Raw genomic sequence first — 15,399 nt, forward strand, 5'->3', positions numbered from 1 at the left:
CATGCCCAGCTAATTTTTTGTATTTTAGTAGAAACAGGGTTTCACCATGTTGGCCAAGATGGTCTCAATCTCCTGACCTCAAGTGATCCTCCCGCCTCCACCTCCCAAAGTACTGGGATTACAGGCATGAGCCACAGCACCCAGCCTCTGTAGCTCCTTCTAATCTGCTAACTTTTCTTGGGAGTTTTGAATTTCAGTGACTTTTTACGAACTCCTAAAAGTTCTATTCACTCTGTTTTCAGATCTTCCTTTTCTTTTCTATTAGTGCCGAAATCCATTCTTAGGGTTCCTGTTTTTGCTTTCAGTTTTTGAATAATTTCTAAATACTTCTTTTATTCTTTCAATTTGTTCTATAACCTAAAGTTCTTGAAATGTTATTTCTGCAGTTTGGTGTGCGTATTGACTGCCCCTCAGAGTCAGTTATTTTCTAGTGTTTGTGAGCGTTCTTGTTTTTAATCTTTGGCAAGTTTTTTTATTTGTTTGTTTAACTTGTGAGAGCTTTTCGTGCCCTACATTGCAGGAATGATATTACAAAGCAATTTTGTGTTTGCTTCTGCAAGGTCCCAGGCGTTTTTCTAGTTTGTTTCTCTTGTCACTGTTATTGTTTTGTTTGCTTTTTTAAAACTTTTTGTTTTGTTTTGTGGTCTTTTTAAAACTGTTAAAATTGCTTTATACACCTACAATAACAATTATTAATTATAAGATACTATTTACATGTGGTTGTAAAGAACACACTTAAATAACTTACATATGTGAATTTAAATTATAAATTTATATTTAGCAACATAGTGCTACTTCAAACAACTATAAAAATTGATCTATATATTCCTAAAGAAGAGTAAAGGGCCAAAACAGGCAAAATAATACAGAAAAAGAATAAATGTTAGAAGGCAGTTCTCCATTGGTCTCTTGTATTTCTGCACATCTTCTCAGCAGAGGCATTGACAGATTTGTGTGTGTGTGTGTGTTTCTGTACTATTTTTCAATGATGTTTTTACAGAAAACAGCTTGGGAAGGTAGAAGTAGTGTCTCTCCTCCAGGGCAATGGCAGATTTGTTTGTTGTCCAGGATAATGAAGAAATGTCTTCCTCTTGGATAAAGGATCGGCAGATTTGCTAGCAAGTGTGGGGTTTCCTAAACTTGAGTTCTTCACTGTGATGCATATAGCATCCTCTTAGCCCTTCCATGTCACACATAGGACTTGGGTGCAAGGGTAAATGAGGTGAACATGAAGCTTATACTAACTGCTGTACTCTGAGCAATAAAATCATTTGCCTCTGACTCACCAGTCCCATATCTTTTTATTATATCCATGACAGGCTAAATTGTTAGCTTGCAAATGGAATAAATTCTCAGACTCTTCAAAATTCTTACAATAAGAAGAGCGAAATTATACTACCAAATAGTAAGATTTATTATAAAGACATAGTAAAACTGGCAAATAAATGGACAAGTAAACCAATAGAAAAGAATAACGAATAGGCATATATATGAAAGGAAAATGGTATAAGAGAAACACGGCATCATAGGTCTATAGGAAAAAGTACTATTGAATACAAAAATCTGGGGCAATTAGCTATCCAAGTGGAAAAGCTAGAATTAGATCCCTGCCTCAAGCCATATCCAAAACGACATCAAAAATAAAATCCCAAGGCCGGGCATGGTAGGTCATGCCTGTAATCTCTGCACTTTAGGCCGATGTGGGAGGATTGCTTGAGCCCAGGAGTTTGAGACCAGCCTGCGCAAAATAGTGAGACCTTGTCTCTGCCAAAAAGTTAAACAAAAAAATTATTTGGGTGTGGTGGCATGTGCCTGTAATCCCAGCTACTCAGGAAGCTGAGGCAGGAGGATCGCTTGAGCACAGGAGGCTGAGGCTGCAGTGAGCTATGATCATACCACTGCACGCCAGCCTCGTGACAGAGAGAGAGCTTGTCTCTAAAATAAATAAATAAATTCCATTTAAATTCAAGATCTAAATATGAGCAACAAACTTTAAATGTTTTAGAATAAATTGTAGGAGATTGTCTTTAGGATATTAAGGTAGAGAAAGATTTTTTAAGACACAAAAAGCCCAAGCCATAAAGCAAAAGACAGAGCCACATTAGAATTTAAAACTTCTGTACAGCAAGACCATATAAACATTTAAAAGACAATTGACAATCTGGGAGAAGATATTTATAACTTTTCTAACTAACACAGTTACTGGTGTGTTTTTACGTAGCTTTTATTAGCTTAGGATTCTGGCACTAATTTGTAAGCATAAATCACATGTTTTGCCTCTGTGTGACACAGGCTTGGAGTTTTTATTTCTGATCATGAACTCTCCCCAGCTTGGCCCACTCAATCCCTACCCAGAGTCTCAAGCAAAGTACAAGCTTCTCTGATCCTGTATCAGGGAATCCGAGATCCCTTTTTCATAAAGTAGGCAGTCCTCTCAGGTTTCTGGCACTCTAAGGGAAAGAACAGGACACCATGAATAACAACAGGCCACTTGAAAGAGAATCCAGGCCGGGTGCAGTGGCTCACGCCTGTAATCCCAGCACTTTGGGAGGCTGAGGCAGGCGGATCACTAGGTCAGGAGATCAAGACCATCCTGGCTAACACGGTGAAACCCTGTCTCTACTTAAAATACAAAAAATTAGCCGGGGGTGGTGGCAGGCGCCTGTAGTCCCAGCTACTCGGGAGGCTGAGGCAGGAGAATGGTGTGAACCTGGGAGGCGGAGCTTGCAGTGAGCCAAGATTGCACCACTGCACTCCAGCCTGGGCGACAGAGTGAGACTCCGTCTCAAAAAAAAAAAAAAAAAAAAGAGAGAGAATCCAATAGTAATTTTCAATTGAAAAATAACAATAACTGAGTTAGTTTGAACTCCCTGCCTTTTAGCAGCCCTGGGGCCAGTTTCCAGTCAGGTGTGAATGTTAAACCCCTAGTCCTAGAGGCCACACTTAGTCTCATACATTCTCCAAGGCCGTGGGCACTTCAGCTGCTGCTTTTTGCTCTTCCTCTTAGTTCACACTATTTTAAAAAGTTTTTTTTTCAGACAGGGTCTCACTCTGTCACTCAGGCTGGAGTGCAGTGGCGCTATCATGGCTCACTGCAGCCTTGACCTCCCGGGCTCAAGCCATCCTCTCACCTCAGCCTCCCAAGTAGCTGGGACTACAGGCATGCACCACCATGCTTGGCTAATGTTTTGAATTTTTTGTAGAGACAGGGTTTCACCATGTTGGCCAGGCAGGTCTTAAACTCCTGGGCTCAAGAGATCTACCCGTCCCAGCTTCCCAGAGTGCTGGGATTGCAGGTGTGAGCCACTGCGCCTGGCTAGTTCACACTAGTTTAAGCACCTAGGAAACATCTCTCTCTTTCTTTGGGGGTATAACTGTGCCTCTTAAACATTTTGTTGGCTGGGCACGGTGGCTCAACGCCTGTAATCCTAGCAATTTGGGAGCCCGAGGTGGGTGGATCACTAGAGGTCAAGAGTTTGAGACCAGCCTGGCCAACATGGTGAAACCCCGTCTCTACTAAGAATACAAAAATTAGCCGAGCTTGGTGGCGGGCACCTGTAATCCCAGCTGCACAGGAGGCTGAGACAGGAGAATTGCTTGAACCCGGGAGGCGAAGGTTGAAGTGAGCTGAGATCACGCCACTGCACTCCAGCCTGGGCGACAGAGCAAGACTCCATCTCGAAAAAAGAAAAAAAAATTGTTATATTTTATCCTGCATTATATCCATTTGACTTGTGAGTCTTCTCCACACCTGCTAGAACTGCCCAACCCTGACTGTGCTTGCCTGTGTACCTATTAGCTCCCTACAACATCTCATCGTGGGAGGGGAAACAGGGTTTGAAAGACTTCTTACATTGTTAAATTTTAACTTTAAAAATGTTACTCAGTTTGGATAAGCTTTCCCTGCCCTCCCTGGCAAAATGTTGACCATTTAAAGGAGGAAGAATGTTCCAAACTTTTCCTTAAAGCAATCATTGTAGTGTTTCTGCAGCAGCACAACCGCTGAATTCCTGAAGTCTTAATTTTCCAAAGATTGAAGGGTGTTTTGTTTTGTTGTGAGATGGAGTTTTGCTCTTGTTGCCCAGGCTGGAGTGCAATGCTCGATCTTGGCAATGCTCGATCTTGGCTCACTGCAACCTCCGCCGCCCAGGTTCAAGCAATTCTCCTGCCTCAACCTCCTGAGTAGCTGGGATTACAGGCATGCACCACCACACCCAGCTAATTTTTGTATTTTTAGTACAGACAGGGTTTCACCATGTTGGTCAGACTGGTCTGGAACTCCTGACCTCAGGTGATCCACCCTTCTCGGCCTCCCAAAGTGCTGGGATTATAGGCGTGAGCCACCGCGCCCAGCCAAGATTGAAGTTATTTGAATTTTTACCTGAAAGAAAACATCCTCTTGGGTTAGCTTCCTGTTCCCCACTACAGAAAGAGGAAGAGAAGAGAAGGCTACATGAAAGAGCTGATAGCATCCAGAGAAGGAAGAACAAGAGAGAATTACATCACTGAATAATGACAATGAGCATGATGTGCTATACTGCATGCCAGGTTCTGTTCCAAGTGTTTTACATTTACTAACTCATTAACCCTATCAACAACATAAGATAAGTACTATTATTTTTATTCCCGTCATCTTAAAGAGGGGACACATAGGCCGGGCGCGGTGACTCACGCCTCATCCCAGCACTTTGGGAGGCCGAGGCGGGCGGATCACAAGGTCAGGAGATCCAGACCACCCTGGCTAATACGGTGAAAGCCCATCTCTACTAAAAATACAAAAAATTAGCCGGGCGTGGTGGCGGGCGCCTGTGGTCCCAGCTACTCTGGAGGCTGAGGCAGGAGAATGGTGTGAACCCGGGAGGCGGAGCTTGCAGTGAGCCGAGGTCACGCCACTGCACTCCAGCCTGGGCGACAGAGCCAGACTCCGTCTCAAAAAAAAAAAAAAAAAAGCGGGGGGACACAGACACATAGACACACCAGAGTTCAGTGAAAATAACTTGTTCAAGTTCACATAGCCAGGAAGTGGTCTGAGACCATCCGATGCTGGTCAGTGAGACAGGTATGAGTTCTTCCTTTCAAGAAATGTTCAAATTTAAAGAGGCTTTAGCCTCTTGTGATTCCAGAACATTAAGGAGGGATTATGCACAGATTTATGGAGTCTTGTCACTGATTTCTCATGGGTGCTTAACCTAAGATCAAAGGTTCTCTGATGGTTCTGTGCATACACTCCAAGGGGTCAGTGAACTTGGGTGGAAAATAAAAATACATTTTTTAAGTTACTTCTAGCAGTTCTAATCACAATTTACATTTCTCTGCCTTTAAAAATTTAGGTGACAAACCATAATAGTATTATCACTCCCCATGACATTGTCATCAATAGAAATCATTGATTTTCATGTCACATTTCAGTTGTAACAAGTATCTCAGAATATCATATATTTTTATCACTCTCAAAATCATGGTAGTTATTATACCTGTGGGCAAATCTTGTTATTTAATACATTAATAATGATGTCCATATATTACAATATTATGCTTTTAAAAGTATATGTTGATGTCTGTATTTCCATATAATTGGTTACTTAAAGGAGAATTTTATATAATTGGCTATATAATTGGTTACTTAAAGGAGAACTTCTCTTAAAGGAGAATGTCATCCTACATTTTATATTTAGCAACAAAAGAATGAGAAGAAGGCTGAATGTCTGTACCCAGCCTTCCATATAATTTGTAGCCAATTACATGGAAATACAGATATCAACATATATTTTTAAAAGCATGATATCATAACATATGAACTTCATTATTAATGTATTTTATTTATTTTATTTTAGGCATTTACAAATATTATTCTGAGGAAGGTTCCATAGGCTTCATTACACAGGCAAAGGGATCTATACTATAAAAATAGTTAAAAACCTTTGCCCTAGAGCAGGGTTAGCAAATTATGTCCTGCTCGCCAAATCCGGCTACTTGTTTTTGTATGACCCATGAGCTAAGAATGGATTTTACATTTTTAAATGGTTGGAAAAATTTTTTTAAAGAATATTTCGTGACAATGTGAAAATGCATGAAATCCAAATTTCAGCGTCCATACTCACTAGAACACAGCCATACTCATTTGTCTGCATAGCGTTTGTGGCTGCTTTTGCACTGCAACAGACTTTTTTTTTTTTTTTTTTTCTTGAGACGGAGTCTCACCCTGTCGCCCAGGCTGGAGTGCAGTGGCGCAATCTCGGCTCACTGCAACCTCTGCCTCCCGGATTCAAGCAATTCTTCTGCCTCAGCCTCTTGAGTAGCTGGGACTACAGGCATGCGCCACCATGCCCGGCTAATTTTTGTATTTTTAGTAGACACGGGGTTTCGCCATATTGGCCAGGCTGGTCTCAAACTCCTGACCTCGTGATCCGCCCACCGTGGCCTCCCAAAGTGCTGGGATTACAGGTGTGAGCCACTGTTCCCGGCCACTGCTACAGATTTGAAAGGTGGGACAGAGATGGAATGTCCTGCAATGCCTAAAATATTTACTAAATGGGCTTTTAGTAGTTTGTCAACCCTGAATTAGAAGAGAGTAAGGATGCTGAAGACAAGGAAGCTGTCTCATATTTCTTTGCATCACTTCAGTGCCTAGTTCAGAGCCATGGAAAGAATAGCTCATCTATGCATCTCTACTGGTTGAAAGACTACTAACCCCTTTGCGGTAACTACCTGCCACTTTGGAAATCTTGGTAAATTCTACCTCCCCCTTAATGATTTCTCTAAGCTTCCTATCCAAGGACCCACACTCTTTTGAGTAAAGGAGAACTTCATCCTACATTTCATATTTACCAACAAGAAAATGAGAAGGCTGAATGTCTCTAGCTCAGCTTTAATGTTAAAAGAAATTACAAAGTAATGAAGCAACCTCCCACTATAATGCTGTGGCACAATATGAATTATTATGCAATAGAAAAGTGAGCAAAAAGAGACTGCCCCGGAGCACGTTTCTTCAATGTGTGCTGATCAAGGAAACCTTGGTTCTGTGGATGCTCCCGAGAAGTTAAAGGGTCAGAGAGCCCCAGCTGAAGCGCAGCCCAACCAGGAACACCTCGCAATAAGGAATGTTATTCTGAAAGCCAAGGAAATAACCAGACTCTCATTTCCCCCACACAAATCAAAACACCTCCAAACATGATCACCCTCAAAAACATTAGTTTGAAAGGCAGTAATATGGTATAGACAAAAAGAATTAGGCTTGCTGACAGAATATCCAGGTTAAAACCCCAATTTCTCCCCCACAGGTTTTCTGCCTTAGGACAACTCCAACTCTCTATAATGAGGGAGAGAAATAACGTTTACCTCTGAGGGCTGCTGAGAGGGTTAAATAATATGAGATCTGTAAATTACAACACACTGTACACACTATACAGGTAGCATACAAGGTGGTAATGAGTGAGAACATTTGATGTAGTGTGGAGCTGCAGGCGAGTTGGTATGTTCTCTGCCTGTACAAGTCTGTTTATTCATTCATTCATTCACTCACTCACTCATATTTCTACCACATCCCAGGAATGATTGAAGATGGCTTAAATGTATTCACTTTTTTTGTAAACAAAAAATGATTCAAAGTGAATTAAGAAAACAGGACGAAAGGAGAGGGTAGTAGGTGAGATAGAATGATGCTAGGAATTAGGTAGAAACCACTGCTCCTAGACTTTGGATTTTCTGAACCAGTAACATTTCTCCAAACACTAGGAATTGACAAGGGGGCGCTATAATGTTCTTTTGCCAAGTAAAGACATTATAAAACAAGCACAAAGCAATGGATCTCACCATATGGTTCTCACCGTAATTTCATAAAAGAAATACTTATTTGTTAGTACCTATAAGGTAGGAAGAACATGATCTCAGAAGACAGAGAAGTTCAGTTTGCTTTTATGAAGTTACACATTGTTATTTATAGTTTGTCTTGGATAGATGAAAAGTGGCACAAACTGGCAATGGCTTGGAAAGGGCATTTGTGAATCACTGACTTAGCACACAAAATGTCCTGGATGCCTGCCAAGCAGTGAACCCCAAACGGTCAGTGCAAGGATGGAGATAAAATCAGTTGCTCAAGGAAAGAAAAGTTTTTCTTAGTGGAGTCCTAGGAGAAACTTTTTCTTGGATTCTCTTTAAAAGGACACTGTGTAAGGTATTAATAAACACCCTCAATAATATCTTCAGACTGAATAGAGTATTTTTATAAAATGCATTCCCCCACTATGGACCAATGGAATAATATCAAAGTGAAACTCAGTAAAAAAAAATTTTCTGGATACACTCCAGGCAAATGGATCTTCACTTGGGTTGATCTGATAAGGAACTGATTTTAGGGGATCCAGATTTTAGAGGACCAGTTGAACTGCATTATCTTTCATGCTGGTCTCCAAGGTCATATTTTTCTCAACCAAACTTCTAACAAACTTTGACTGCTGATGAGTTCTCAGTTGTTCCTGATTCTAAAGTCCTTCTATAGTATATCTGAAATTAGAGTCTATGTTGATGGTTAAAGAAGGAGTCACATGCTTCAACATTTAGCTCACCTTGGGGGGAACTATTGACATACCTCTTAGGACAGTTGAGAAATCTAATGAGCTGTCAACAAGAGGAAAACCTAGAAATTCTAATCTAATGGATAGTACTTCTATAGATAGTACTTCTAATCTAATAGATAGTATTTCTATTAGATTGGAATTTCTAGGCAAGAGGAAAACATAGAAATTCTAATCTAATAGATAGTACTTCTATTAGATTCTATTCTAATCTAATAGATAGTACTTCTATTAGATTCTATTCTAATCTAATAGATAGTACTTCTATTAGATTCTATTCTAATCTAATAGATAGTACTTCTATTAGATTCTATTCTAATCTAATAGATAGTACTTCTATTAGATTCTATTCTAATCTAATAGATAGTACTTCTATTAGATTCTATTCTAATCTAATAGATAGTACTTCTATTAGATTCTATTCTAATCTAATAGATAGTACTTCTATTAGATTCTATTCTAATCTAATAGATAGTACTTCTATTAGATTCTATTCTAATCTAATAGATAGTACTTCTATTAGATTCTATTCTAATCTAATAGATAGTACTTCTATTAGATTCTATTCTAATCTAATAGATAGTACTTCTATAGATAGTACTTCTAATCTAATAGATAGTATTTCTATTAGATTGGAATTTCTAGGCAAGAGGAAAACATAGAAATTCTAATCTAATAGATAGCGCTTCTATTAGATTCTATTCTAATCTAATAGTACTTCTATTAGATTCTATTCTAATCTAATAGATAGTACTTCTATAGATAGTACTTCTAATCTAATAGTATTTCTATTAGATTAGAATTTCTAAGCAAGAGGAAAACCTAGAAATTCTAATCTAATAGATAGTACTTCTATTAGATTAGAATTTCTAGGTTTTCCTCTCTTTCTATATAAAGACATGTATTGAACTCAAAAATGTTATATATTACAAATTATTTTTTTCATTCATTCATTCACTCAGCACATATTCATTGGATGCCTACTATGTGTTGGGCTCCATGCTGTGAGTTGAAGATACAGCAGCAAATAAAACAGACAAAATTCTCTGCTCCCATGGAAGGCGGAGGGGGAAACAAATGACAAATAAGATATACAAGTAACCAATATAGTACATTAGAAGGTAAATGCTATGGAGAAATATAAAGCAGGAAAAGGGATAAGGTGTGTGTGTGTGTGTGTGTGTGTGTGTGTGTGTGTGTGTAGGCGTAGCTGTGGTTTCCATTTTCAAAAACTTGGTCAGCAAGGCCTCATGGAGAAGGTGACATTTAAACAAAGTGAAGTAAGTGAGGGGCCAATGTGAATATCTGAGGGAAGAGTACACTTAGCAAAGGGAAGAGTAAATGCAAAGGCCCTGGGGCAGGAGTGTGCCTGGCAGCTCTGCATAACTGCAAGGCCAGTGTGGCTGGAGCAGAGTGAGTCAAGGCTGGTAGCAGGTGATAAAGGACAGAGGTAGTGGTGTGGCAGTTGAGAAAGAAGATCCTGTAGGACCCTCTAAACCATTATAAGGACTTTGACTTTTACTCCAGGGAATCTGGAAAGCCATGGGAGGATTCCAAGCCAAGCAGTGACATGGCCCAAATGATATTTTAGCAGATTCAAGTGGCTGCTATGTTAAGAATAGACTGCAGGGTGGTGAGGGCCGAATCAGGGAAACCAGTTAGCAGCTCCTGCATTCTAGGTGAGATTACACATTAGGTACCACCAATGGCATTTGGGGTAAAATGAAGTGGGGTTGCTGCAGGGTAGAGAGCTTAGTCAGCTTACCCAGTCTGAGTAAAATCATCGACATCCATAACTAGCTCTGACAATTTACAAAAAAATTCTCATTGACCTTAGACAAATTTAGATATCATAATTTAAAAATGACGTGCCATCTAACATTTGCCAAACTTTGTACTTGGTGCCCAGACCCACGGAACCAGCTCGGGTGGAAAGTGAGAACCCCAAGTAAAGGCTGGACATCGTCAGAGAGCTGCGTGGAGCAGTTGCTTGTGTAGAGCAATGACAAATAGGAGAGGTTGCTGGAAAAGGAAGTGGAACCAGTGCCCAGAGTTTTATCTGCTTTGTCCATAAAAGGAGATTAGATACTTCACAGAAGCCTACTCTGGGGCTTAAGTATACAGTCCACCCATTCTCTCACTGCATTGATTTACCGTTGTCTCTTGCATTGTAAGCGTGAGTTCTTCGTGCAGTAAAATTTTTGTTTATTTCAATTGCTGAAATTCTAAAATCTATGTTGGCTATCTGCTCATTTTAATTTTTTGCATCATATTTTATTAATCTTATGCCTTTCGGAAAGCAATTTCAGGGATCTAGTATTGCAGACAATTGGATGTAATATAGTCTCTGACTTTGATTTTCATTTTCTTGTCATGAAGAATATTTCTTATAGTTAATTAAGATATTTGGGAACTGGGCGCAGTGGCTCACGTCTGTAATCCCAGCGCTCTGGGAGGCCGATGTGGGTGGATTGCTTGAGTTTAGGAGTTTGAGACCAGTCTAGGCAACACAGCGAAATCCTGTGTCTACAAAACACTTAAAAATTAGCTGGGTGTGGTGGTGTGCGCCTGTAGTCCCAGCTACTCAGAACACTGAGCAGAGGATAGCTTGAGCCCAAGAGGTCGAGGCTGCAGTGAGCCACGAAGGCACCACGGCACCCCAGCGTGGGCAACAGAGCCAGACCCTGTCTCAGAAAACAAAACCAAAGGAAAGAAAGAAAGAATTAGGAAGAAAGCTAGGAAGGAAGGAAGGAAAAAGAAAGAGGAAGACAAAGAAAGAGAAAGAGAAAGAGAAAAAGAAAGAAAGAAAAGAAAGAAAACAAGATATTTGGGCATAACTTAACAGACTCTATGTTATTATTATTATTATTTAGAGACAGTTTCTCACTCCAACACCCAGATTGGAGTGTGGTGGTGTCATCACAGCTTGCTGCAGCCTCAACCTCCAGGGCTCAAACCATCCTCCCACCTCAGCCTCCTGGGTAGCTTGAACTACAGGTGTGCAACACCACGCCCAGCTAAGTTTTTTTTTTTTGTATTTTTTTATAGAGGTTTTGTCATGTTGCCTAGGCTCATCTCCAACTCCTGGGCTCAAGTGATCAGCCCACCTCAACCTCCCAAAGTGCTGGGATTATAGGATAAGCCACCACCCCAGCCTTCACAAACTCTTTAGATCTAACTGTTATGCCTTGGATTGACAGGGTTGGCAAATTACCTGGCGCTGGTGTTGCAATGCTGCCTCCTCCCATGCTTGAGGCAGGTGCTGCTTCTCAATCTTGCACCCTTTCCCACTGAGCATGGACTTGCCTTACAAGCCTCGTCCACTCAGGGCTCCAGAAAGTCACTATCAATCAATGGGAACAAGCATACCCAGTGAACCACCTTACTATCCTAGGGTTCTAGCCAGTATAGTCTTATTTTTTGCCTTTATTGATGCCATTTTTTGGAAATGGACCCACTACCTTATTATGCACATTTTGAATTTAAGTAAAAATATATAATAGCAATAGTTTGGATTCCTAACTAATATGAGCATTTAAATACCTAACTGATGGATTTAATGATGATTAATTTTGTTAAAGGTCTTCTTTCTACATCAACGAAAGATTTTAATTCTAGATGTATATATGGTTCCCATGGTTCCCTTAACTTTTTAAAAGTAAAGTGGCCTCTGTTTTCTTTCAGGCTCTGAGCTTTTCATGTGATTTAATAGCATCGATGGTTCACAATTTTCTAGAGCTCTGCAGCCATCTTAAAGCTGATATTAATGTTCCTGGCTTTTGGCAATGAATAACTAATTATGCTGCAAATAGCTAAATTAGGAAAGAGTCTATGGGAGAAGCCCTAAAAGAATGATCCATGGCAGGATTTTGGGAAGAGCTGGAGGTGCGGAAGTTGTCCAGACAGGAAAAGTGCAGCAGCCATGATGGTCGGTGCCTTCGCATCAGGGTTTTCACTCGCTGAGCCAATGGGTCCATAGCTGATGTCAGCTAAATGCCCATGGTGGTGAAGAGCTCCACACTCCTTGTGTTCCTGGGTCATACTCCGTCAGAAGAATCAGAAGCTGAAGCAGAATCATTGGAGCATTTGGCCCTATTCTCTGCTTGCTTTTGTTATCGGTGACTTAAAGAGGGACCAACAGAACACCTTCCTGGGCCTTGAGGGAGCTCTCTGTTGCCATCACCAAGGCCCCATTGGCCCACGCTTCTACCATGGTGTGTACCAGCTCTCCTGGGAGTCACGTGGCCACATATCAAGGGGAAGGAGCTACTTCCCTCCTAGAGCAATGGCACCTGCAGGTAAGAGCTGAGTGGTGAGCTCTTACTTCTGCACTCTGCACTGGGCCAGTATGGATCTCCCCAACCACATTTGACAGTCTTCATCCTGCCATACCAGGTATCACCATCTGCTTCAAAGTCCCCTTTACTATTTGTTCTACAACTGCTAGAAAACCTAAGGCCAAATAGATTGATAGCAAGCTGTCCCCTAATTTCTAAGATAATGCTGTATAGATTTTAAAAAGAATTTCAACAATCCTTATTGCATACTATAGAGGGAGTTCTGTTTCCCAGAAGTTGAAAGTATGGTAAAATCCCTCCTCATCATTCTTAGGGTGCTAGCTGTCCTGGGAGCTGGAAAAGTGATGCAGAAATTGCTGCTTCTCACAAGGCCATGACCTCTCCCTAACCTAGGTAAGGGTCAAGGCAAATGGTCATTTGCCACTAAATTATAAATCTCTGAGCTGGAACTTGCTGGATGTCAATGCTTTGAGAGATATGAGGCCTGGGCCTGCATCTGGGCCCCACCCATCGACTTCCTACATCTGTATTCTGGTTAGGCACCCCGCCTGGCTGCCTACCTGTACTTAAGCCTTCCTGTACTCTGGGACTAGGGGTAAGGGTGAAGAGAGGGTAGAGGAGGTGAGCAAGTGAGGGAAAGAAAAGGTAGTGGAGTGGCAGGATGGGAGGGGGCTCTAGCCAGGATGTTCTGTAAGCAGAGCCCAGCAAATTATCTCTGTTCCCCTTGGCCTGACCCCTTTTCCCAGGAGCAGGGCCTGGCAAGCAGGGTTGTTAGGTAACAGTTTCAACCATCCTCTGGTGGGTTACATACAAAAAGCAGTTTACAGTGTCAATGAAATGAATGCTAGTGTACCTTTCTCGACCTCCTAGCACTCTGGAGGTAAATGTGTGCAGCAGGTCACTGCAGACAGGGAGAGAGAGTTCTACAACAGAGTTGAAGGTAAAAACATGAAATAATTTGGGATATGACCCAAGTGATAACAATATGGTTTAACTGGTTTACCTGGTCTTGTAACCTAAAGAATAATTTCCATAACCCAGTTAACATTCTACTCATTACAGTATTTATGACTGTATATTTCTTAAAAAAGAGTTGAGGCTATGCACACAAATAACTACTCAATGACAAAGAATGAGCTGAGGGCTACACAGTGGCCAGAGAGCAAGTATATTATAAAGGGCTTTGGATCTTGGAGATTCCAGCACCCACTAACCCTGTAGGCACTAACCTCTTACTTTTCTCCTTAGTCAAATGGATTTAACAATCTTTGCCCTGCAGAGTTTTTGAGCAAATTAGCAACAATATATAAGGACAGTATCTAGCACAATACCCCAAATCGACTAACTCCTCCGTAAAGAATAGCTACCACTATTGTGAGAGTTTTAAGTCAAGCTGTGAATAAAACTCTTGGGTCCACTTAAAAATACCTCCCCTGGATGTAAGCATCCAGGGAAATCAGGGAATGCCATAAGACAGCCCTAATCTAAAAGCCTACAAGAAGCTCAGTGGGCTTCAAGGAAGACACTGCTCTTGGTACGATGAGGAAACCTGGCCCTCTATTTGCCTCCTGGGCCACAGTAATATTGATAATAGCTGCTGCTTTTAGTTGAGGACCATGTACGTCTGTGTCACTGCACTGGCCACTTTACTTACACTTTCCTGCTTTGTCCTCACAAAGATCCTGTAAGGTGTGTATTGGTCCCATTTAGCAGGTAAGACAATGAAGACCAGAGGTCCAGCACCTTGCCTAAACCACACCTGCTGGGATTTGGATTCAAGTCCAACCGTACAGCTCAAACGCTCAGCCACTTCCCTAAAGTCCACCCCCAGCTACATTAAGTAAAAAAATCCAGAAAGATGCCACCTGGGGGTCTGGAACTGCCTCCTCCGAGCACCCGGCTCTCCCCTCCCTGCGGACTCTTCTCTGGAGAGGATGTGATGCTTCTTACTTTTCTCAGATCCCTCTCCCCACCCTGCGAGTGACGTTGCGCCTCTGTGCCTGGTGGGATAGGGATCTGGGAGCTTCGCCTGTTTTTTGCACACTGCCATCCCCTAGTCTTAGGGAGCGAGCTCTGTCCCGCTTTTCACATCTCCGCGTCTTTCCTTGCACTCTACATCACCGCTGGGAATGTCCCCAGACCTGATCGGGGCATGCACACTGGGGTGTGCGTGTGCGTGTGGTGTGTGTTCCTGCGCGTGTGCCGGGCTCGCGGGGCAGGAAAAAGCGCCTAATCCAGGCTCTGCGTCACTCCCGCAATTGGTTAGAAATGGAGTTTCCTGGTGTTTAATCCCGGGAGGGCACTTCGCCTTCGTTGTTTCCCAGAGTCCCTGATTTTCCTGCCTCGCATGCCAGCGCCCCATAGGGCATCCGTGCCTCAGTTCACCTCTTGCCATCCTCCAAGGACGGGGAGAAGGGGTAAGGCGGGGGAGAGCAAGGTGGCTTGGTCGCCCCCGGCCCCCGCCCCCCATGTTGTGTGCAGTTTCCACCACGTCTGTTTCGGAGGGAGAAGAGGAGGGTGCAGATGAG

General features: G+C 41.9%; 1 annotated feature.

Moving 5' to 3' along the window:
- Positions 6,191–6,691: an enhancer, noted in NCBI's record as "H3K4me1 hESC enhancer chr4:37882909-37883409 (GRCh37/hg19 assembly coordinates)". NCBI's record gives its function as "activates a minimal SCP1, AML or CMV promoter by ChIP-STARR-seq in naive H9 embryonic stem cells {active_cell/tissue: H9 hESC(naive)}" and the evidence as "EXISTENCE:reporter gene assay evidence [ECO:0000049][PMID:30033119]".

This window comes from Homo sapiens, chromosome 4 (assembly GCF_000001405.40).
Source record: "Homo sapiens chromosome 4, GRCh38.p14 Primary Assembly".
Lineage (NCBI taxonomy): Eukaryota > Metazoa > Chordata > Mammalia > Primates > Hominidae > Homo > Homo sapiens.